General features: G+C 38.0%; 24 annotated features.

Annotated features, from left to right (window-relative positions):
• Positions 550 to 1,501: an enhancer, noted in NCBI's record as "OCT4-NANOG-H3K27ac-H3K4me1 hESC enhancer chr10:42526987-42527938 (GRCh37/hg19 assembly coordinates)". NCBI's record gives its function as "activates a minimal SCP1, AML or CMV promoter by ChIP-STARR-seq in primed H9 embryonic stem cells {active_cell/tissue: H9 hESC(primed)}" and the evidence as "EXISTENCE:reporter gene assay evidence [ECO:0000049][PMID:30033119]".
• Positions 1,502 to 2,451: an enhancer, noted in NCBI's record as "OCT4-NANOG-H3K27ac-H3K4me1 hESC enhancer chr10:42527939-42528888 (GRCh37/hg19 assembly coordinates)". NCBI's record gives its function as "activates a minimal SCP1, AML or CMV promoter by ChIP-STARR-seq in naive and primed H9 embryonic stem cells {active_cell/tissue: H9 hESC(naive and primed)}" and the evidence as "EXISTENCE:reporter gene assay evidence [ECO:0000049][PMID:30033119]".
• Positions 1,535 to 1,671: a silencer, noted in NCBI's record as "fragment chr10:42527972-42528108 (GRCh37/hg19 assembly coordinates)". NCBI's record gives its function as "represses an EF-1alpha promoter that drives an FKBP-Casp9 reporter gene in an ReSE screen in K562 erythroleukemia cells {active_cell/tissue: K562}" and the evidence as "EXISTENCE:reporter gene assay evidence [ECO:0000049][PMID:32094911]".
• Positions 2,452 to 3,403: an enhancer, noted in NCBI's record as "OCT4-NANOG-H3K27ac-H3K4me1 hESC enhancer chr10:42528889-42529840 (GRCh37/hg19 assembly coordinates)". NCBI's record gives its function as "activates a minimal SCP1, AML or CMV promoter by ChIP-STARR-seq in naive and primed H9 embryonic stem cells {active_cell/tissue: H9 hESC(naive and primed)}" and the evidence as "EXISTENCE:reporter gene assay evidence [ECO:0000049][PMID:30033119]".
• Positions 3,404 to 4,353: an enhancer, noted in NCBI's record as "OCT4-NANOG-H3K27ac-H3K4me1 hESC enhancer chr10:42529841-42530790 (GRCh37/hg19 assembly coordinates)". NCBI's record gives its function as "activates a minimal SCP1, AML or CMV promoter by ChIP-STARR-seq in naive and primed H9 embryonic stem cells {active_cell/tissue: H9 hESC(naive and primed)}" and the evidence as "EXISTENCE:reporter gene assay evidence [ECO:0000049][PMID:30033119]".
• Positions 4,354 to 5,305: an enhancer, noted in NCBI's record as "OCT4-NANOG-H3K27ac-H3K4me1 hESC enhancer chr10:42530791-42531742 (GRCh37/hg19 assembly coordinates)". NCBI's record gives its function as "activates a minimal SCP1, AML or CMV promoter by ChIP-STARR-seq in naive and primed H9 embryonic stem cells {active_cell/tissue: H9 hESC(naive and primed)}" and the evidence as "EXISTENCE:reporter gene assay evidence [ECO:0000049][PMID:30033119]".
• Positions 5,306 to 6,255: an enhancer, noted in NCBI's record as "OCT4-NANOG-H3K27ac-H3K4me1 hESC enhancer chr10:42531743-42532692 (GRCh37/hg19 assembly coordinates)". NCBI's record gives its function as "activates a minimal SCP1, AML or CMV promoter by ChIP-STARR-seq in naive and primed H9 embryonic stem cells {active_cell/tissue: H9 hESC(naive and primed)}" and the evidence as "EXISTENCE:reporter gene assay evidence [ECO:0000049][PMID:30033119]".
• Positions 6,256 to 7,205: an enhancer, noted in NCBI's record as "OCT4-NANOG-H3K27ac-H3K4me1 hESC enhancer chr10:42532693-42533642 (GRCh37/hg19 assembly coordinates)". NCBI's record gives its function as "activates a minimal SCP1, AML or CMV promoter by ChIP-STARR-seq in naive and primed H9 embryonic stem cells {active_cell/tissue: H9 hESC(naive and primed)}" and the evidence as "EXISTENCE:reporter gene assay evidence [ECO:0000049][PMID:30033119]".
• Positions 7,206 to 8,155: an enhancer, noted in NCBI's record as "OCT4-NANOG-H3K27ac-H3K4me1 hESC enhancer chr10:42533643-42534592 (GRCh37/hg19 assembly coordinates)". NCBI's record gives its function as "activates a minimal SCP1, AML or CMV promoter by ChIP-STARR-seq in naive and primed H9 embryonic stem cells {active_cell/tissue: H9 hESC(naive and primed)}" and the evidence as "EXISTENCE:reporter gene assay evidence [ECO:0000049][PMID:30033119]".
• Positions 8,156 to 9,107: an enhancer, noted in NCBI's record as "OCT4-NANOG-H3K27ac-H3K4me1 hESC enhancer chr10:42534593-42535544 (GRCh37/hg19 assembly coordinates)". NCBI's record gives its function as "activates a minimal SCP1, AML or CMV promoter by ChIP-STARR-seq in naive and primed H9 embryonic stem cells {active_cell/tissue: H9 hESC(naive and primed)}" and the evidence as "EXISTENCE:reporter gene assay evidence [ECO:0000049][PMID:30033119]".
• Positions 9,108 to 10,057: an enhancer, noted in NCBI's record as "OCT4-NANOG-H3K27ac-H3K4me1 hESC enhancer chr10:42535545-42536494 (GRCh37/hg19 assembly coordinates)". NCBI's record gives its function as "activates a minimal SCP1, AML or CMV promoter by ChIP-STARR-seq in naive and primed H9 embryonic stem cells {active_cell/tissue: H9 hESC(naive and primed)}" and the evidence as "EXISTENCE:reporter gene assay evidence [ECO:0000049][PMID:30033119]".
• Positions 10,058 to 11,007: an enhancer, noted in NCBI's record as "OCT4-NANOG-H3K27ac hESC enhancer chr10:42536495-42537444 (GRCh37/hg19 assembly coordinates)". NCBI's record gives its function as "activates a minimal SCP1, AML or CMV promoter by ChIP-STARR-seq in naive and primed H9 embryonic stem cells {active_cell/tissue: H9 hESC(naive and primed)}" and the evidence as "EXISTENCE:reporter gene assay evidence [ECO:0000049][PMID:30033119]".
• Positions 11,008 to 11,957: an enhancer, noted in NCBI's record as "OCT4-NANOG-H3K27ac-H3K4me1 hESC enhancer chr10:42537445-42538394 (GRCh37/hg19 assembly coordinates)". NCBI's record gives its function as "activates a minimal SCP1, AML or CMV promoter by ChIP-STARR-seq in primed H9 embryonic stem cells {active_cell/tissue: H9 hESC(primed)}" and the evidence as "EXISTENCE:reporter gene assay evidence [ECO:0000049][PMID:30033119]".
• Positions 11,958 to 12,909: an enhancer, noted in NCBI's record as "OCT4-NANOG-H3K27ac-H3K4me1 hESC enhancer chr10:42538395-42539346 (GRCh37/hg19 assembly coordinates)". NCBI's record gives its function as "activates a minimal SCP1, AML or CMV promoter by ChIP-STARR-seq in naive and primed H9 embryonic stem cells {active_cell/tissue: H9 hESC(naive and primed)}" and the evidence as "EXISTENCE:reporter gene assay evidence [ECO:0000049][PMID:30033119]".
• Positions 12,910 to 13,859: an enhancer, noted in NCBI's record as "OCT4-NANOG-H3K27ac-H3K4me1 hESC enhancer chr10:42539347-42540296 (GRCh37/hg19 assembly coordinates)". NCBI's record gives its function as "activates a minimal SCP1, AML or CMV promoter by ChIP-STARR-seq in naive and primed H9 embryonic stem cells {active_cell/tissue: H9 hESC(naive and primed)}" and the evidence as "EXISTENCE:reporter gene assay evidence [ECO:0000049][PMID:30033119]".
• Positions 13,860 to 14,809: an enhancer, noted in NCBI's record as "OCT4-NANOG-H3K27ac-H3K4me1 hESC enhancer chr10:42540297-42541246 (GRCh37/hg19 assembly coordinates)". NCBI's record gives its function as "activates a minimal SCP1, AML or CMV promoter by ChIP-STARR-seq in naive and primed H9 embryonic stem cells {active_cell/tissue: H9 hESC(naive and primed)}" and the evidence as "EXISTENCE:reporter gene assay evidence [ECO:0000049][PMID:30033119]".
• Positions 14,810 to 15,759: an enhancer, noted in NCBI's record as "OCT4-NANOG-H3K27ac-H3K4me1 hESC enhancer chr10:42541247-42542196 (GRCh37/hg19 assembly coordinates)". NCBI's record gives its function as "activates a minimal SCP1, AML or CMV promoter by ChIP-STARR-seq in primed H9 embryonic stem cells {active_cell/tissue: H9 hESC(primed)}" and the evidence as "EXISTENCE:reporter gene assay evidence [ECO:0000049][PMID:30033119]".
• Positions 16,054 to 16,571: an enhancer, noted in NCBI's record as "OCT4-NANOG-H3K27ac hESC enhancer chr10:42542491-42543008 (GRCh37/hg19 assembly coordinates)". NCBI's record gives its function as "activates a minimal SCP1, AML or CMV promoter by ChIP-STARR-seq in primed H9 embryonic stem cells {active_cell/tissue: H9 hESC(primed)}" and the evidence as "EXISTENCE:reporter gene assay evidence [ECO:0000049][PMID:30033119]".
• Positions 16,572 to 17,087: an enhancer, noted in NCBI's record as "OCT4-NANOG-H3K27ac-H3K4me1 hESC enhancer chr10:42543009-42543524 (GRCh37/hg19 assembly coordinates)". NCBI's record gives its function as "activates a minimal SCP1, AML or CMV promoter by ChIP-STARR-seq in primed H9 embryonic stem cells {active_cell/tissue: H9 hESC(primed)}" and the evidence as "EXISTENCE:reporter gene assay evidence [ECO:0000049][PMID:30033119]".
• Positions 17,088 to 17,604: an enhancer, noted in NCBI's record as "OCT4-NANOG-H3K27ac-H3K4me1 hESC enhancer chr10:42543525-42544041 (GRCh37/hg19 assembly coordinates)". NCBI's record gives its function as "activates a minimal SCP1, AML or CMV promoter by ChIP-STARR-seq in primed H9 embryonic stem cells {active_cell/tissue: H9 hESC(primed)}" and the evidence as "EXISTENCE:reporter gene assay evidence [ECO:0000049][PMID:30033119]".
• Positions 17,605 to 18,120: an enhancer, noted in NCBI's record as "OCT4-NANOG-H3K27ac-H3K4me1 hESC enhancer chr10:42544042-42544557 (GRCh37/hg19 assembly coordinates)". NCBI's record gives its function as "activates a minimal SCP1, AML or CMV promoter by ChIP-STARR-seq in primed H9 embryonic stem cells {active_cell/tissue: H9 hESC(primed)}" and the evidence as "EXISTENCE:reporter gene assay evidence [ECO:0000049][PMID:30033119]".
• Positions 18,121 to 18,637: an enhancer, noted in NCBI's record as "OCT4-NANOG-H3K27ac-H3K4me1 hESC enhancer chr10:42544558-42545074 (GRCh37/hg19 assembly coordinates)". NCBI's record gives its function as "activates a minimal SCP1, AML or CMV promoter by ChIP-STARR-seq in naive and primed H9 embryonic stem cells {active_cell/tissue: H9 hESC(naive and primed)}" and the evidence as "EXISTENCE:reporter gene assay evidence [ECO:0000049][PMID:30033119]".
• Positions 18,638 to 19,153: an enhancer, noted in NCBI's record as "OCT4-NANOG-H3K27ac-H3K4me1 hESC enhancer chr10:42545075-42545590 (GRCh37/hg19 assembly coordinates)". NCBI's record gives its function as "activates a minimal SCP1, AML or CMV promoter by ChIP-STARR-seq in naive and primed H9 embryonic stem cells {active_cell/tissue: H9 hESC(naive and primed)}" and the evidence as "EXISTENCE:reporter gene assay evidence [ECO:0000049][PMID:30033119]".
• Positions 19,154 to 19,670: an enhancer, noted in NCBI's record as "OCT4-NANOG-H3K27ac hESC enhancer chr10:42545591-42546107 (GRCh37/hg19 assembly coordinates)". NCBI's record gives its function as "activates a minimal SCP1, AML or CMV promoter by ChIP-STARR-seq in naive and primed H9 embryonic stem cells {active_cell/tissue: H9 hESC(naive and primed)}" and the evidence as "EXISTENCE:reporter gene assay evidence [ECO:0000049][PMID:30033119]".

Genomic DNA, 20,250 nt, shown 5'->3' with positions numbered 1-20,250 from the left:
GCCCTAAGGCGGTTTTTCCCTATCTCAGTAGATGGAGCATACAATCGGGTTTTATACCGAGACATTCCATTGCCCAGGGACAGGCAGGAGACAGATGCCTTCCTCTTGTCTCAACTGCAAGAGGCATTCCTTCCTCTTTTACTAATCCTCCTCAGCACAGACCCTTTACGGGTGTCAGGCTGGGGGACGGTCAGGTCTTTCCCTTCCCACGAGGCCATATTTCAGACTATCACATGGGGAGAAACCTTGGACAATACCTGGCTTTCCTAGGCAGAGGTCCCTGCGGCCTTCTGCAGTTTTTGTGTCCCTGGGTACTTGAGATTAGGGAGTGGTGATGACCCTTAAGGAGAGTGCTGCCCTCAAGCATCTGTTTAACAAAGCACATCTTGCACCGCCCTTAATCCATTTAACTCTGAGTTGACACAGCACACGTTTCAGAGAGCACGGGGTTGGGGGTAAGGTTATAGATTAACAATCTCAAGGCAGAAGAATTTTTCTTAGTACATAACAAAATGGAGTCTCCTATGTCTACTTCTTTCTACACAGACACAGTAACAATCTGATCTCTCTTGCTTTTCCCCACAATTTCCAACGAAGGCAACAAAGGGGTCCAAATATCCACTTGCAGACATTACAAACAGAGTGTTGAAAAACTGCTCTATGAAAAGAAAGGTTAATCTCAGTGAGTCGAACGTGCACATCAGAAAATAGTGTCTGAGAATGCTTCTCTCTAGTATTTCTAGGAAGATATTTAATTTTCTACCATTGTCCCAAAAGCGCTTGAAATCTACACTTGAAATTCCACAAAAAGAGAGTTTCAAATCTGCTCTATCTAAAGGAAGGTTCAACTCTGAGAGTTGAATACACACAACACAAAAAAATTACTGAGAATTCTTCTGTCTAGCATTATATGAAGAACTAACTTTTCCAACAAAGCTTTCAAGGAGGTCCAAATATCGACTTGCAGACTTTACAAACAGAGTGTTTCCAAACTACTCTATGAAAAGAAAGGTTAAACTCTGTGAGTTGAATGCACACATCACAAAGTACTTTCTGAGAATAATTCTGTCTAGTTTTTATACGAAGATATTTCCTTTTCTACCATTAGCCCCAAACCACTTGAAATCTCCACTTGCAAATTCCACAAAAAGAGTGTTTCAAACCTGCTCTGTCTAAAGGAAGGTTAAACTCTGTGAGTTGAGTACAGACAACACAAAGAAGTTACTAAGAATTCCTCTGTCTAGCATTATACGAAGAAACCCTGCTTCCAACGAAGGCCTCAAAGAGGTCCAAATATCCACTTGCAGACTTTAGAAACAGAGTGTTTAAACTGCTCTATGAAAAGAAAGGTTAAACTCTGTGAGTGGAACGTACACATCACAAAGTAGTTTCTGAGAATGATTGTATCTACTTATTATACGAAGATATATCCTTTTCTACCATTGGCCTCAAACTCTTGAAATCTCCACTTGCAAACTGCACAAAAACAGTGTTTCAAATCTGCTCTGACTAAAGGAAGTTTCAACTGTGTGAGTTGAATACACGCAACACAAAGAAGTTACTGAGAATTCTTCTGTCTAGCATTATATGAAGAAATCCCGTTTCCAACGAAGGCCTCAAAGAGGTCCAAATATCCACTTGCAGACTTTACAAACAGAGTGTTTCCAAACTAATCTATGAAAAGAAAGGTTAAATTCTGTGAGTTGAATGCACACATCAAAAAGCAGTTTCTGAAAATGATTCTTTCTAGTTTTTATACGAAGATAATTCCTTTTCTACCACTGTCCTCAAACTGCTTGAAATCTCCACCTGAAAATTCCACAAAAAGAGAGTTTCAAATCTGCTGTGTCTAAAGGAAGGTTCAACTCCGTCAGTTGAATACACACAACACCAAGAAGTTACTGAGAATTCTTCTGTCTAGCATTATATGAAGAAGTCCCGTTTCCAACGAAGGGCTCAAACAGGTCTAAATATCCACTTGCACATTTTACAAAGAGAGTGTTTAAAAACGGCTCAATTAAAAGAAAGGTTAAACCCTATGAGTTGAATGCACACATCACAAAGTAGTTTCTGAGAATGATTCTCTCTAGTTTTTATAGGAAGATATTTCCCTTTCTACAATTGGCCACAAATCACTTGAAATCTCCACATGAAAATTCCACAAAAAGAGAGTTTCGAATCTGCTGTGTCTAAAGGAAGGTTGAACTCTATGAGTTGAATACACACAACACCAAGAAGTTACTGAGAATTCTTCTGTCTAGCATTATATGAAGAAGTCCCGTTTCCAACGAAGGGCTCAAACAGGTCTAAATATCCACTTGCACACTTTACAAAGAGAGTGTTTACAAACTGCTCAATTAAAAGAAAGGTTAAACCCTGTGAGTTGAATGCACACATCACAAAGTAGTTTCTGAGAATGATTCTCTCTAGTTTTTATAGGAAGATATTTCCTTTTCTACAATTGGCCACAAATCACTTGAAATCTCCACATGAAAATTCCACAAAAAGAGAGTTTCGAATCTGCTGTGTCTAAAGGAAGGTTGAACTCTATGAGTTGAATACACACAACACAAAGAAGTTAGTGAGAATTATTCTGTCTAGCATTACATGAAGAAATACCGTTTCAAACAAAGGCCTCAAAGAGGTCTAAATATCCACTTGCAGACATTACACACAGAGTGTTTACAAACTCCTCTATGAAAATAAAGGTTAAACTCTGTGAGTTGAATACACACATAGCAAAGTAGTTTCTGAGAATGATTCTGTCCAGTTTTTACAAGAAGATATTTCTATTTCAAAGACTGGCCACAAATCGCTAGAAATCTCCACTTGCAAATTCCACAACAACGAGTTTTTCAAAACTGCTCTGTCTAAAGGAAGGTTCAACTCTGTGAGTTGAATACACACAACACAAAGTAGTTACTGAGAATTCTTCTGTCTAGCATTATATGAAGAAATCCCGTTTCCAACGAAGGCCTCAAAGAAGTCCAAATATGCACTTGCAGACTTTACAAACAGAGTGTTTCCAAACTGCTCTATGAAAAGAAAGGTTAAACTCTGTGAGTTGAATGCACACATCACAAAGTAGTTCTTTAGAATGATTCTGTCTAGTTTTTATACGAAGATACTTCCTTTTCTACAATTGGCCTAGAAGCGCTTGAAATCTGCACTTGCAAATTCCACAAAAAGAGTGTTTCAAATCTGCTCTGTGTAAAGGAAGTTTCAAAACTGTGAGTTGAACAGACACAACACAAAGAAGTTACTGAAAATTCTTCTGTCTAGCATTATCTGAAGAAATCCCTTTTCCAACGAAGGCCTCAAAGAGATCCAAATAACCACTTGTAGACTTTACAGACAGAGTGTTTCCAAACTGCTCAATTAAAAGAAAGGTTAAACTCTGTGAGTTGAACGCACACATCACAAAGTAGTTTCTGAGAATGATTCTCTGTAGCTTTTATATGAAGATATTTACATTTCTAACATTGGCGTCAAATCGCTTGAAATCTCCACTTGCAAAAGCCACGAAAAGAGAGTTTCAAAACTGCTCTGTCTAAAGAAAGGTTCAACTCTGTGAGTTGAATACACACAACACAAAGAAGTTACTGAAAATTCTTCTGTCTAGCAATACATGGAGAAATCCCTTTTCCAAGGAAAGTGTCAAAAAGGTCCAAATATCCACTTGCAGATATTCCAAACAGAGTGTTTCCAAACTGCTCTATGAAAAGAAAGGTTAAACTCTGTGAGTTGAAAGCACACAACACAAAGTAGTTTCTGAGAATGATACTGTCTAGTTTTTATACGAAGATATTTCCTTTTCTACCATTGGCCTCAAATCGCTTGAAATCTCCACTTGCAAAAGCCACGAAAAGAGAGTTTCAAATCTGCTCTGTCTAAAGAAAGGTTCAACTCTGTGGGTTGAATACACACAACACAAAGAAGTTACTGAGAATTATTCGGTCTGGCAGTATATGAAGAAATCCGGTTTCCAACGAAGGCCTCAAAGAGGTCAAAATATCCGCTTGCAGACTTAACAAACAGAGTATTTCCAAATGGCTTCATGAAAAGAAAGGTTAAACTCTGAGAGTTGAACGCACACATCACAAAGTATTTTCTGAGAAAGATTTTGTCTAGTTTTAATACGAAGATATTTCCTTTTCTACCATTGTCCTCGAAGCGCTTCAAATCTGCACTAGCAAATTCCACAAAAAGAGTGTTTCAAATCTGCTCTCTCTAAAGAACGTTCAACTCTGTGAGTTGAATGCACACAACACAAAGAAGTTACTGAGAATTCTTCTGTCTAGCATTATAGGAAGAAATCCCATTTCCAACGAAGGGCTCAAAGAGGTCCATATATCCACATGCAGACATTACAAATAGAGTGTTTCCCAACTGCTCTATCAAAATAAAGGTTAAACTCTGTGAGGTGAACGCACACATCACAAACTAGTTTCTGCGAATGATTCTATGTAGTTTTAATGCGAAGATATTTCCATCTCTAAGAATGGCCTCAAACCTCTTGAAATCTCCAATTGCAAATTCCACAAAAAGAGTATTTCAAAACTTCTCTGGATAAAGTAATGTTCAATTCTGTGAGTTGAATACACACAACTGAAAGAAGTTACTGAGAATTCTTCTGTCTAGCAGTATATGAAGAAATCCCTTTTCCAATGAAGGCCTATAAGAAGTCCAAATATCTACTTGCAGACTTACAGACAGAGTTTTCCAAACTGCTCTATGAAAAGAAACGTTAATCTCTGTGAGTTGAATGCACACATCAAAAAGTAGTTTCAGAGAATGATTCTGTCTAGTTTATATATGAAGATATTACCTTTTCTACCATTGGCCTCAAATCGCTTGAAATCTCCACTTGCAAAAGCCACGAAATGAGTGTTTCATATCTGCTCTGTCTAAAGAAAGGTTCAACTCTGTGAGTTGAATAAAAACAACAGAAAGAAATTAGTGAGAATTCTTCCGTCTAGCATTATATGAACAAATCCCTTTTCCAACGAAGGGCTCACAGAGGTCAAATATCTACTTGCAGACTTTACAAACAGAGTGTTTCCAAACTGCTCTATGAAGAGAAAGGTTAAATTCTGTGAGTTGAACGCACACATCACAACGTAGTTTCTGAGAACGATTCTGTCTAGTTTTATACGAATATATTTCCTTTCTACCATGGGCCACAAATCGCTTGAAATCTCCACTTGCAAAGTACACAAGAACAGATTTTCGAATCTGCTGTGTCTAAAGAAAGGTTCAACTATGTGAGTTGAATCCACACAACACAAAGAAGTTACTGGGAAATCTCCTGTCTAGCATTATATGAAGGAAACCCGTTTCCAACGAAGGACACAAAGAGGCCCAAATATCCACTTGCAGACTTTACAAAAAGAGTATTTCCAAACTGTTCTAGGAAAAGAAAAGTTAAACTCTGTGAGTTGAACGCACACATCACAAAGTAGTTGCAGAGAATGATTCTGTCTAATTTTTACACGAAGATATTTCCATTTCAATGATTGGCCTCAAATCGCTTCAAATAGCCATTGGAAATTCCACAAACAGAGTGTTTTAAAACAGCTCTGTCTAAAGGAAGGTTCAACTCTGTTAGGTGAATACACACAACACAAAACAAGTTACTGAGAATTCTTCTATCTAACATTATATGAAGAAATCCCGTTTTCAACGAAGGCCTCAAAGAGGTCCAAATATCCACTTGCAGATTTCACAAACACAGTGTTTCCAAACTGCTCTATGAAAAGAAAGGTTAATCTCTGTGAGTTGAACGCACACATCACAAGGTAGTTTCTCAGAATGACTCTGTCTAGTTTTTATACAAAGATATTTCCATTTCTAAGACTGGCCTCAAATCCCTAGAAATCTCCATTAGAAATTCCACAAACAGAGTGTTTTAAAACTGCTCTGTCTAAAGGAAGGGTCAACTCTGTGATTTGAATGCACACAACACAAAGAAGTGACTGAGAATTCTTCTATCTAACATTGTATGAAGAAATCCCGTTTCCAACGAAGGCCTCAAAGAGGTCCAAATATCCTCCTGCAGACTTTACAAACAGAGTGTTTCCAAACTACTCTATGAAAAGAAAGGTTAAACTCTGTGAGCTGAACGCACACATCACAAAGTAGTTTCTGAGAATGATTCTGTGTAGTTTTTATACGAACATATTTACATTTCTAATATAGGTCTCAAATCGCTTGAAATATCCACTTGCAAGTTCCACAAACAGTGTGTTTCAACCCTGCTCTGTCTAAAGGAAGGTTCATCTCTCTGAGTTCAATACACACAACACAAAGAATTTACTGAGAATTCTTCTGTCTATCATTATATGAAAAAATCCCGTTTCCAATGAAGGCCTCAAAGAGGTAGAAATATCCACTTGCAGACTTTACAAATAGAGTGTTTCCAAACTGCTTTATAAAAAGAAAGGTTAAACTCTGTGAGTTGAACACACACATCACAAACTAATTTCTGAGAATGATTCTGTGTAGTTTTAATACAAAGATATTTCCTTTTCTACGATTGTCCTCAAATCCCTTGAAATCTCCACTTGCAAATTCCACAAAAAGAGTGTTTCAAAAATACCCTGAATAGACGAAGGTTCAACTTAGTGAGTTGAATGCACACAACACAAACAGTTACTGAGAATTCTTCTTTCTGTGAGTATATGAAGAAATCCCGTTTGCAACGAAGCCCTCACAGAAATCTAAATATCCACTTGCAGACCTTACAGACAGAGTCTTTCCAAACTGCTCTATGAAAAGAAAGGTTAATCTCCGTGAGTTGCACGCACACATCAGAAAGTAATTTCTGAGAATGATTCTCTCTAGTTTTTATATGAAGATATTTCCTTTTCTACCATTGGCCTCAAATCGTTTGAAACCTCCACATGCAAAAGCCACGAAAAGAGCGTTTCAAATCTGCTCTGTCTAAAGAAAGGTTCAACTCTGTTAGTTGAATACACACAACACAAACAAGTTACTGAGAATTCTTCTATCTAGCATTATATGAAGAAATCCCGTTTCCAACGAAGGCCTCAAAGAGGTCCAAATATCCTACTGCAGACTTTACAAAGAGAGTGTTTCCAAACTGCTCAATTAAAAGAAAGGTTAAACTCTGTGAGTGGAATGCACACATCACAAAGTAGTTTCTGAGAATGATTTTGTCTAGTTTTCATACGAAGATATTTCCTTTTCTACCATTGTCCTCGAAGAGCTTGAAATCTGCACTAGCAAATTACACAAAAAGAGTGTTTCAAATGTGCTCTCTCTAAAGGAAGGTTCAAATCTCTGAGTTGAATGCACCCAACACAAAAAGTGACTGAGAATACTTCTGTCTAGCATTATAGGAAGAAATCCCGTTTCCAACGAAGGCCTCAAAGAGGTCCAAATATCCACTTGCAGACTTTACAAATAGAGTGTTTCCAAACTGCTCTATGAAAAGAAAGGTTAAACTCTGTGAGTTGAACGCACACATCACAAGGTAGTATCTCAGAATGACACTGTCTAGTTTTTATACAAAGATATTTCCATTTCTAAGACTGGCCTCAAATCCCTAGAAATCTCCATTGGAAATTGCACAAACAGAGTGTTTGAAAACTGCTCTTTCTAAAGGAAGGTTCAACTCTGTTAGTTGAATACACACAACACAAACAAGTTACTGAGAATTCTTCTATCTAGCATTATATGAAGAAATCCCGTTTCCAACGAAGGCCTCAAAGAGGTCCAAATATCCTACTGCAGACTTTACAAAGAGAGTGTTTCCAAACTGCTCAATTAAAAGAAAGGTTAAAGTCTGTGAGTGGAACGCACACATCACAAAGTAGTTTCTGAGAATGATTTTGTCTAGTTTTAATACAAAGATATTTCCTTTCCTACCATTGTCCTCGAAGAGCTTGAAATCTGCACTAGCAAATTACACAAAAAGAGTGTTTCAAATGTGCTCTCTCTAAAGGAAGGTTCAAATCTCTGAGTTGAATGCACACAACACAAAGAAGTGACTGGGAATTCTTCTGTCTAGCATTATAGGAGGAAATCCCGTTTCCAACGAAGGCCTCAAAGAGGTCCTAATATCCACTTGCAGACTTTACAAAGACAGCGTTTCCAAACTGCTCTATGAAAAGAAACGTTAAACTCTGTGAGTTGAACGCACACATCACAAACTAGTTTCTGCGAATGATTCTGTGTAGTTTTAATTCGAAGATATTTCCATTTCTAAGATTGGCCTCAAATCCCTTGAAATCTCCACTTGCAAATTCCACAAAAAGAGTGTTTCAAAACTGCTCTGAATAAAGGAAGGTTCAACTCTGTGAGTTGAATGCACACAACAGAAAGTAGTAACTGAGAATTCTGCTGTCGGGCAGTATATGAAGAAATCCCGTTTGCAATGAAGGCCTCACAGAAATCTAAATATCCACTTGCAGACCTTACAGACAGAGTGTTTCCAAACTTCTCTATGAAAAGAAAGGTTAATCTCCGTGAGTTGCACGCACACATCACAAAGTAGATTCTGAGAATGATTCTGTCTAGTTTTTATACGAAGATATTTCCTTTTCTACAATTGGCCTCAAATCGCTTGAAATCTCCACTTGCAAAAGCAACGAAAGGAGAGTTTCAAATCTGCTCTGTCTAAAGAAAGGTTCAACTCTCTGAATTGAATACACACAACCCAAAGAAGTTACTGAGAATTCTTTGGTCTAGCAGTATATGAAGAAATCCCGTTTCCAACGAAGGCCTCAAAGAGGTCCAAATATCCACTTGCAGACTTTACAAATAGAGTGTTTCCAAACTGCTCTATGAAAAGAAAGGTTAAATTCTGTGAGTTGAATGCACACATCACAAGGTAGTATCTCAGAATGACACTGTCTAGTTTTTATACAAAGATATTTCCATTTCTAAGACTGGCCTCAAATCCCTAGAAATCTCCATTGGAAATTGCACAAACAGAGTGTTTGAAAACTGCTCTTTCTAAAGGAAGGTTCAACTCTGTTAGTTGAATACACACAACACAAACAAGTTACTGAGAATTCTTCTATCTAACATTATATGAAGAAATCCCGTTTCCAACGAAGGCCTCAAAGAGGTCCAAATATCCTACTGCAGACTTTACAAAGAGAGTGTTTCCAAACTGCTCAATTAAAAGAAAGGTTAAAGTCTGTGAGTGGAACGCACACATCACAAAGTAGTTTCTGAGAATGATTTTGTCTAGTTTTAATACAAAGATATTTCCTTTCCTACCATTGTCCTCGAAGAGCTTGAAATCTGCACTAGCAAATTACACAAAAAGAGTGTTTCAAATGTGCTCTCTCTAAAGGAAGGTTCAAATCTCTGAGTTGAATGCACACAACACAAAGAAGTGACTGGGAATTCTTCTGTCTAGCATTATAGGAGGAAATCCCGTTTCCAACGAAGGCCTCAAAGAGGTCCTAATATCCACTTGCAGACTTTACAAAGACAGCGTTTCCAAACTGCTCTATGAAAAGAAACGTTAAACTCTGTGAGTTGAACGCACACATCACAAACTAGTTTCTGCGAATGATTCTGTGTAGTTTTAATTCGAAGATATTTCCATTTCTAAGATTGGCCTCAAATCCCTTGAAATCTCCACTTGCAAATTCCACAAAAAGAGTGTTTCAAAACTGCTCTGAATATAGGAAGGTTCAACTCTGTGAGTTGAATGCACACAACAGAAAGTAGTAACAGAATTCTTCTGTCGGGCAGTATATGAAGAAATCCCGTTTGCAACGAAGGCCTCACAGAAATCTAAATATCCACTTGCAGACCTTACAGACAGACTCTTTCCAAACTTCTCTATGAAAAGAAAGGTTAATCTCCGTGAGTTGCACGCACACATCACAAAGTAGATTCTGAGAACGATTCTGTCTAGTTTTTATACGAAGATATTTCCTTTTCTACCATTGGCCTCAAATCGCTTGAAATCTTTACTTGCAAAAGCCACGAAAAGAGCGTTTCAAATCTGCTCTGTCTAAAGAAAGGTTCAAATCTGTGAGTTGAATACACACAACACAAAGTAGTTACTGAAAATGCTTCGGTCTAGCAGTATATGGAGAAATCCCGTTTCCAACGAAGGGCTCAAAGAAGTCCAAATATCCACTTGCAGACTTTACAAAAATAGTGTTTCCAAACTGCTCAATTAAAAGAAAGGTTAAACTCTGTGAGTGGAACGCACACATCACAAAGTAGTTTCTGAGAATGATTTTGTCTAGTTTTCATACGAAGATATTTCCTTTTCTACCATTGTCCTCGAAGAGCTTGAAATCTGTACTAGCAAATTACACAAGTAGAGTGTTTCAAATGTGCTCTCTCTAAAGGAAGGTTCAAATCTCTGAGTTGAATGCACACAACACAAAGAAGTGACTGAGAATACTTCTGTCTAGCATTATAGGAAGAAATCCCGTTTCCAACGAAGGCCTCAAAGAGGTCCAAATATCCACTTGCAGACTTTACAAATAGAGTGTTTCCAAACTGCTCTATGAAAAGAAAGGTTAAACTCTGTGAGTTGAACGCACACATCACAAGGTAGTATCTCAGAATGACACTGTCTAGTTTTTATACAAAGATATTTCCATTTCTAAGACTGGCCTCAAATCCCTAGAAATCTCCATTGGAAATTGCACAAACAGAGTGTTTGAAAACTGCTCTTTCTAAAGGAAGGTTCAACTCTGTTAGTTGAATACACACAACACAAACAAGTTACTGAGAATTCTTCTATCTAGCATTATATGAAGAAATCCCGTTTCCAACGAAGGCCTCAAAGAGGTCCAAATATCCTACTGCAGACTTTACAAAGAGAGTGTTTCCAAACTGCTCAATTAAAAGAAAGGTTAAAGTCTGTGAGTGGAACGCACACATCACAAAGTAGTTTCTGAGAATGATTTTGTCTAGTTTTAATACAAAGATATTTCCTTTCCTACCATTGTCCTCGAAGAGCTTGAAATCTGCACTAGCAAATTACACAAAAAGAGTGTTTCAAATGTGCTCTCTCTAAAGGAAGGTTCAAATCTCTGAGTTGAATGCACACAACACAAAGAAGTGACTGGGAATTCTTCTGTCTAGCATTATAGGAGGAAATCCCGTTTCCAACGAAGGCCTCAAAGAGGTCCTAATATCCACTTGCAGACTTTACAAAGACAGCGTTTCCAAACTGCTCTATGAAAAGAAACGTTAAACTCTGTGAGTTGAACGCACACATCACAAACTAGTTTCTGCGAATGATTCTGTGTAGTTTTAATTCGAAGATATTTCCATTTCTAAGATTGGCCTCAAATCCCTTGAAATCTCCACTTGCAAATTCCACAAAAAGAGTGTTTCAAAACTGCTCTGAATATAGGAAGGTTCAACTCTGTGAGTTGAATGCACACAACAGAAAGTAGTAACAGAATTCTTCTGTCGGGCAGTATATGAAGAAATCCCGTTTGCAACGAAGGCCTCACAGAAATCTAAATATCCACTTGCAGACTTTACAGACAGACTCTTTCCAAACTTCTCTATGAAAAGAAAGGTTAATCTCCGTGAGTTGCACGCACACATCACAAAGTAGATTCTGAGAACGATTCTGCCTAGTTTTTATACGAAGATATTTCCTTTTCTACCATTGGCCTCAAATCGCTTGAAATCTTTACTTGCAAAAGCCACGAAAAGAGCGTTTCAAATCTGCTCTGTCTAAAGAAAGGTTCAAATCTGTGAGTTGAATACGCACAACACAAAGTAGTTACTGAAAATTCTTCGGGCTAGCAGTATATGGAGAAATCCCGTTTCCAAAGAAGGCCTGAAAGAGGTCCAAATATCCGCTTGCAGACTTTACAAAAAGAGTGTTTCCAAACTGCTCTATGAAAAGAAAGTTTAAAATCTGTGAGTTGAACGCACAAATCACAGAGCAGTTTCTGAGAATTGTTCTGTCTAGTTTTTATACGAAGATATTTCCTTTTCTACAATTGGCCTCAAATCGCTTGAAATCTCCACTTGCAAAAGCAACGAAAGGAGAGTTTCAAATCTGCTCGGTCTAAAGAAAGGTTCAACGCTGTGAATTGAATACACACAACCCAAAGAAGTTACTGAGAATTCTTTGGTCTAGCAGTATATGAAGAAATCCCGTTTCCAACGAAGGCCTCAAAAAGGTCCAAATATCTGCTTGCAGACTTTACAAAGAGAGTGCTTCCAACCTGCTCTATGAAAAGAAAGGTTAAACTCTGTGAGTTGAACGCACACATCACAAAGAAGCTTCTGAGAATGATTCTGTTTAGTTATTATACGAAGATATTTTCTTTCCTACCATTGGCCTCCAATGACTTGAAATCTCCTCTGGCAAAAGCCACGAAAAGAGAGTATCAAATCTGCTCTGTCTAAAGAAAAGTTCAACTCTGTGAGTTGAATACACACAGCACAAAGAAGTTACTGAGTATTCTTCTGTCTAGCATTATATGAAGAAGTCCCGTTTCCAACGAAGGGCTCAAAGAGCTCCAAATATCCACTTGGAGACTTTACAAAGAGAGCGTTTCCAAACTGCTCTATGAAATGAAACGTTAAACTCTGTGAGTTGAACGCAAACATCACAAACTAGTTTCTGCGAACGATTCTGTGTAGTTTTAATTCGAAGATATTTCCATTTCTAAGATTGGCCTCAAATCCCTTGAAATCTCCACTTGCAAATTCCACAAAAAGAGTGTTTCAAAACTGCTCCGAATAAAGGAAGGTTCAGCTCCGTGAGTTGAATGCACACAACACAAATAGTTACTGAGAATTCTTCTGTCTGTGAGTATATGAAGAAATCCCGTTTGCAACGAAGGCCTCACAGAAATCTAAATATCCACTTGCAGACCTTACAGACAGAGTCTTTCCAAACTGCTCTATGAAAAGAAAGGTTAATCTCCGTGAGTTGCACGCACACATCACAAAGTAATTTCTGAGAATGATTCTCTCTAGTTTTTATACGAAGATATTTCCTTTTCTACCATTGGCCTCAAATCGTTTGAAACCTCCACATGCAAAAGCCACGAGAAGAGCGTTTCAAATCTGCTCTGTCTAAAGAAAGGTTCAAATCTGTGAGTTGAATACACACAACACAAAGTAGTTACTGAAAATGCTTCGGTCTAGCAGTATATGGAGAAATCCCGTTTCCAACGAAGGGCTCAAAGAAGTCCAAATATCCACTTGCAGACTTTACAAAAATAGTGTTTCCAAACTGCTCAATTAAAAGAAAGGTTAAACTCTGTGAGTGGAACGCACACATCACAAAGTAGTTTCTGAGAATGATTTTGTCTAGTTTTCATACGAAGATATATCCTTTTCTACCATTGTCCTCGAAGAGCTTGAAATCTGCACTAGCAAATTACACAGAAAGAGTGTTTCAAATGTGCTCTCTCTAAAGGAAGGTTCAAATCTCTGAGTTGAATGCACACAACACAAAGAAGTGACTGAGAATACTTCTGTCTAGCATTATAGGAAGAAATCCCGTTTCCAACGAAGGCCTCAAAGAGGTCCAAATATCCACTTGCAGACTTTACAAATAGAGTGTTTCCAAACTGCTCTATGAAAAGAAAGGTTAAACTCTGTGAGTTGAACGCACACATCACAAGGTAGTATCTCAGAATGACACTGTCTAGTTTTTATACAAAGATATTTCCATTTCTAAGACTGGCCTCAAATCCCTAGAAATCTCCATTGGAAATTGCACAAACAGAGTGTTTGAAAACTGCTCTTTCTAAAGGAAGGTTCAACTCTGTTAGTTGAATACACACAACACAAACAAGTTACTGAGAATTCTTCTATCTAGCATTATATGAAGAAATCCCGTTTCCAACGAAGGCCTCAAAGAGGTCCAAATATCCTACTGCAGACTTTACAAAGAGAGTGTTTCCAAACTGCTCAATTAAAAGAAAGGTTAAAGTCTGTGAGTGGAACGCACACATCACAAAGTAGTTTCTGAGAATGATTTTGTCTAGTTTTAATACAAAGATATTTCCTTTCCTACCATTGTCCTCGAAGAGCTTGAAATCTGCACTAGCAAATTACACAAAAAGAGTGTTTCAAATGTGCTCTCTCTAAAGGAAGGTTCAAATCTCTGAGTTGAATGCACACAACACAAAGAAGTGACTGGGAATTCTTCTGTCTAGCATTATAGGAGGAAATCCCGTTTCCAACGAAGGCCTCAAAGAGGTCCTAATATCCACTTGCAGACTTTACAAAGACAGCGTTTCCAAACTGCTCTATGAAAAGAAACGTTAAACTCTGTGAGTTGAACGCACACATCACAAACTAGTTTCTGCGAATGATTCTGTGTAGTTTTAATTCGAAGATATTTCCATTTCTAAGATTGGCCTCAAATCCCTTGAAATCTCCACTTGCAAATTCCACAAAAAGAGTGTTTCAAAACTGCTCTGAATATAGGAAGGTTCAACTCTGTGAGTTGAATGCACACAACAGAAAGTAGTAACTGAGAATTCTTCTGTCAGGCAGTATATGAAGAAATCCCGTTTGCGACGAAGGCCTCACAGAAATCTAAATATCCACTTGCAGACCTTACAGACAGACTCTTTCCAAACTTCTCTATGAAAAGAAAGGTTAATCTCCGTGAGTTGCACGCACACATCACAAAGCAGATTCTGAGAATGATTCTGTCTAGTTTTTATACGAAGCTATTTCCTTTTCTACCATTGGCCTCAAATCGCTTGAAATCTTTACTTGCAAAAGCCACGAAAAGAGCGTTTCAAATCTGCTCTGTCTAAAGAAAGGTTCAAATCTGTGAGTTGAATACACACAACACAAAGTAGTTACTGAAAATTCTTCGGGCTAGCAGTATATGGAGAAATCCCTTTTCCAAAGAAGGCCTGAAAGAGGTCCAAATATCCGCTTGCAGACTTTACAAAAAGAGTGTTTCCAAACTGCTCTATGAAAAGAAAGTTTAAAATCTGTGAGTTGAACGCACAAATCACAGAGCAGTTTCTGAGAATTGTTCTGTCTAGTTTTTATACGAAGATATTTCCTTTTCTACAATTGGCCTCAAATCGCTTGAAATCTCCACTTGCAAAAGCAACGAAAGGAGAGTTTCAAATCTGCTCGGTCTAAAGAAAGGTTCAACTCTGTGAATTGAATACACACAACCCAAAGAAGTTACTGAGAATTCTTTGGTCTAGCAGTATATGAAGAAATCCCGTTTCCAACGAAGGCCTCAAAAAGGTCCAAATATCTGCTTGCAGACTTTACAAAGAGAGTGCTTCCAACCTGCTCTATGAAAAGAAAGGTTAAACTCTGTGAGTTGAACGCACACATCACAAAGAAGTTTCTGAGAATGATTCTGTTTCGTTATTATACGAAGATATTTTCTTTTCTACCATTGGCCTCCAATGACTTGAAATCTCCTCTGGCAAAAGCCACGAAAAGAGAGTATCAAATCTGCTCTGTCTAAAGAAAAGTTCAACTCTGTGAGTTGAATACACACAGCACAAAGAAGTTACTGAGTATTCTTCTGTCTAGCATTATATGAAGAAGTCCCGTTTCCAACGAAGGGCTCAAAGAGCTCCAAATATCCACTTGGAGACTTTACAAAGAGAGCGTTTCCAAACTGCTCTATGAAAAGAAACGTTAAACACTGTGAGTTGAACGCACACATCACAAACTAGTTTCTGCGAACGATTCTGTGTTGTTTTAATTCGAAGATATTTCCATTTCTAAGATTGGCCTCAAATCCCTTGAAATCTCCACTTGCAAATGCCACAAAAAGAGTGTTTCAAAACTGCTCTGAATAAAGGAAGGTTGAACTCCGTGAGTTGAATGCACACAGCACAAATAGTTACTGAGATTTCTTCTGTCTGTGAGTATATGAAGAAATCCCGTTTGCAACGAAGGCCTCACAGAAATCTAAATATCCACTTGCAGACCTTACAGACAGAGTCTTTCCAACCTGCTCTATGAAAAGAAAGGTTAATCTCCGTGAGTTGCACGCACACATCACAAAGTAATTTCTGAGAATGATTCTCTCTAGTTTTTATACGAAGAAATTTCCTTTTCTACCATTGGCCTCAAATCGTTTGAAACCTCCACATGCAAAAGCCACGAGAAGAGCGTTTCAAATCTGCTCTGTCTAAAGAAAGGTTCAAATCTGTGACTTGAATACACACAACACAAAGTAGTTACTGAAAATGCTTCTGTCTAGCAGTATATGGAGAAATCCCGTTTCCAACGAAGGGCTCAAAGAAGTCCAAATATCCACTTGCAGACTTTAAAAAAATAGTGTTTCCAAACTGCTCAATTAAAAGAAAGGTTAAACTCTGTGAGTGGAACGCACACATCACAAAGTAGTTTCTGAGAATGATTTTGTCTAGTTTTCATACGAAGATATTTCCTTTTCTACCATTGTCCTCGAAGAGCTTGAAATCTGCACTAGGAAATTACACAGAAAGAGTGTTTCAAATGTGCTCTCTCTAAAGGAAGGTTCAAATCTCTGAGTTGAATGCACACAACACAAAGAAGTGACTGAGAATACTTCTGTCTAGCATTATAGGAAGAAATCCCGTTTCCAACGAAGGCCTCAAAGAGGTCCAAATATCCACTTGCAGACTTTACAAATAGAGTGTTTCCAAACTGCTCTATGAAAAGAAAGGTTAAACTCTGTGAGTTGAACGCACACATCACAAGGTAGTATCTCAGAATGACACTGTCTAGTTTTTATACAAAGATATTTCCATTTCTAAGACTGGCCTCAAATCCCTAGAAATCTCCATTGGAAATTGCACAAACAGAGTGTTTGAAAACTGCTCTTTCTAAAGGAAGGTTCAACTCTGTTAGTTGAATACACACAACACAAACAAGTTACTGAGAATTCTTCTATCTAGCATTATAAGAAGAAATCCCGTTTCCAACGAAGGCCTCAAAGAGGTCCAAATATCCTACTGCAGACTTTACAAAGAGAGTGTTTCCAAACTGCTCAATTAAAAGAAAGGTTAAAGTCTGTGAGTGGAACGCACACATCACAAAGTAGTTTCTGAGAATGATTTTGCCTAGTTTTAATACGAAGATATTTCCTTTCCTACCATTGTCCTCGAAGAGCTTGAAATCTGCCCTAGCAAATTACACAAAAAGAGTGTTTCAAATGTGCTCTCTCTAAAGGAAGGTTCAAATCTCTGAGTTGAATGCACACAACACAAAGAAGTGACTGGGAATTCTTCTGTCTAGCATTATAGGAGGAAATCCCGTTTCCAACGAAGGCCTCAAAGAGGTCCTAATATCCACTTGCAGACTTTACAAAGACAGCGTTTCCAAACTGCTCTATGAAAAGAAACGTTAAACTCTGTGAGTTGAACGCACACATCACAAACTAGTTTCTGCGAATGATTCTGTGTAGTTTTAATTCGAAGATATTTCCATTTCTAAGATTGGCCTCAAATCCCTTGAAATCTCCACTTGCAAATTCCACAAAAAGAGTGTTTCAAAACTGCTCTGAATATAGGAAGGTTCAACTCTGTGAGTTGAATGCACACAACAGAAAGTAGTAACTGAGAATTCTTCTGTCAGGCAGTATATGAAGAAATCCCGTTTGCGACGAAGGCCTCACAGAAATCTAAATATCCACTTGCAGACCTTACAGACAGACTCTTTCCAAACTTCTCTATGAAAAGAAAGGTTAATCTCCGTGAGTTGCACGCACACATCACAAAGCAGATTCTGAGAATGATTCTGTCTAGTTTTTATACGAAGCTATTTCCTTTTCTACCATTGGCCTCAAATCGCTTGAAATCTTTACTTGCAAAAGCCACGAAAAGAGCGTTTCAAATCTGCTCTGTCTAAAGAAAGGTTCAAATCTGTGAGTTGAATACACACAACACAAAGTAGTTACTGAAAATTCTTCGGGCTAGCAGTATATGGAGAAATCCCTTTTCCAAAGAAGGCCTGAAAGAGGTCCAAATATCCGCTTGCAGACTTTACAAAAAGAGTGTTTCCAAACTGCTCTATGAAAAGAAAGTTTAAAATCTGTGAGTTGAACGCACAAATCACAGAGCAGTTTCTGAGAATTGTTCTGTCTAGTTTTTATACGAAGATATTTCCTTTTCTACAATTGGCCTCAAATCGCTTGAAATCTCCACTTGCAAAAGCAACGAAAGGAGAGTTTCAAATCTGCTCGGTCTAAAGAAAGGTTCAACTCTGTGAATTGAATACACACAACCCAAAGAAGTTACTGAGAATTCTTCGGTCTAGCAGTATATGAAGAAATCCCGTTTCCAACGAAGGCCTCAAAAAGGTCCAAATATCTGCTTGCAGACTTTACAAAGAGAGTGCTTCCAACCTGCTCTATGAAAAGAAAGGTTAAACTCTGTGAGTTGAACGCACACATCACAAAGAAGTTTCTGAGAATGATTCTGTTTCGTTATTATACGAAGATATTTTCTTTTCTACCATTGGCCTCCAATGACTTGAAATCTCCTCTGGCAAAAGCCACGAAAAGAGAGTATCAAATCTGCTCTGTCTAAAGAAAAGTTCAACTCTGTGAGTTGAATACACACAGCACAAAGAAGTTACTGAGTATTCTTCTGTCTAGCATTATATGAAGAAGTCCCGTTTCCAACGAAGGGCTCAAAGAGCTCCAAATATCCACTTGGAGACTTTACAAAGAGAGCGTTTCCAAACTGCTCTATGAAAAGAAACGTTAAACACTGTGAGTTGAACGCACACATCACAAACTAGTTTCTGCGAACGATTCTGTGTTGTTTTAATTCGAAGATATTTCCATTTCTAAGATTGGCCTCAAATCCCTTGAAATCTCCACTTGCAAATTCCACAAAAAGAGTGTTTCAAAACTGCTCTGAATAAAGGAAGGTTGAACTCCGTGAGTTGAATGCACACAGCACAAATAGTTACTGAGATTTCTTCTGTCTGTGAGTATATGAAGAAATCCCGTTTGCAACGAAGGCCTCACAGAAATCTAAATATCCACTTGCAGACCTTACAGACAGAGTCTTTCCAACCTGCTCTATGAAAAGAAAGGTTAATCTCCGTGAGTTGCACGCACACATCACAAAGTAATTTCTGAGAATGATTCTCTCTAGTTTTTATACGAAGAAATTTCCTTTTCTACCATTGGCCTCAAATCGTTTGAAACCTCCACATGCAAAAGCCACGAGAAGAGCGTTTCAAATCTGCTCTGTCTAAAGAAAGGTTCAAATCTGTGACTTGAATACACACAACACAAAGTAGTTACTGAAAATGCTTCTGTCTAGCAGTATATGGAGAAATCCCGTTTCCAACGAAGGGCTCAAAGAAGTCCAAATATCCACTTGCAGACTTTAAAAAAATAGTGTTTCCAAACTGCTCAATTAAAAGAAAGGTTAAACTCTGTGAGTGGAACGCACACATCACAAAGTAGTTTCTGAGAATGATTTTGTCTAGTTTTCATACGAAGATATTTCCTTTTCTACCATTGTCCTCGAAGAGCTTGAAATCTGCACTAGGAAATTACACAGAAAGAGTGTTTCAAATGTGCTCTCTCTAAAGGAAGGTTCAAATCTCTGAGTTGAATGCACACAACACAAAGAAGTGACTGAGAATACTTCTGTCTAGCATTATAGGAAGAAATCCCGTTTCCAACGAAGGCCTCAAAGAGGTCCAAATATCCACTTGCAGACTTTACAAATAGAGTGTTTCCAAACTGCTCTATGAAAAGAAAGGTTAAACTCTGTGAGTTGAACGCACACATCACAAGGTAGTATCTCAGAATGACACTGTCTAGTTTTTATACAAAGATATTTCCATTTCTAAGACTGGCCTCAAATCCCTAGAAATCTCCATTGGAAATTGCACAAACAGAGTGTTTGAAAACTGCTCTTTCTAAAGGAAGGTTCAACTCTGTTAGTTGAATACACACAACACAAACAAGTTACTGAGAATTCTTCTATCTAGCATTATAAGAAGAAATCCCGTTTCCAACGAAGGCCTCAAAGAGGTCCAAATATCCTACTGCAGACTTTACAAAGAGAGTGTTTCCAAACTGCTCAATTAAAAGAAAGGTTAAAGTCTGTGAGTGGAACGCACACATCACAAAGTAGTTTCTGAGAATGATTTTGCCTAGTTTTAATACGAAGATATTTCCTTTCCTACCATTGTCCTCGAAGAGCTTGAAATCTGCCCTAGCAAATTACACAAAAAGAGTGTTTCAAATGTGCTCTCTCTAAAGGAAGGTTCAAATCTCTGAGTTGAATGCACACAACACAAAGAAGTGACTGGGAATTC

Source organism: Homo sapiens, chromosome 10, assembly GCF_000001405.40.
Source record: "Homo sapiens chromosome 10, GRCh38.p14 Primary Assembly".
NCBI classification, from domain to species: Eukaryota; Metazoa; Chordata; class Mammalia; order Primates; family Hominidae; genus Homo; species Homo sapiens.
Note: the sequence above shows the minus strand (reverse complement) of the source record. Positions and strands in the feature narration are given on the sequence as shown.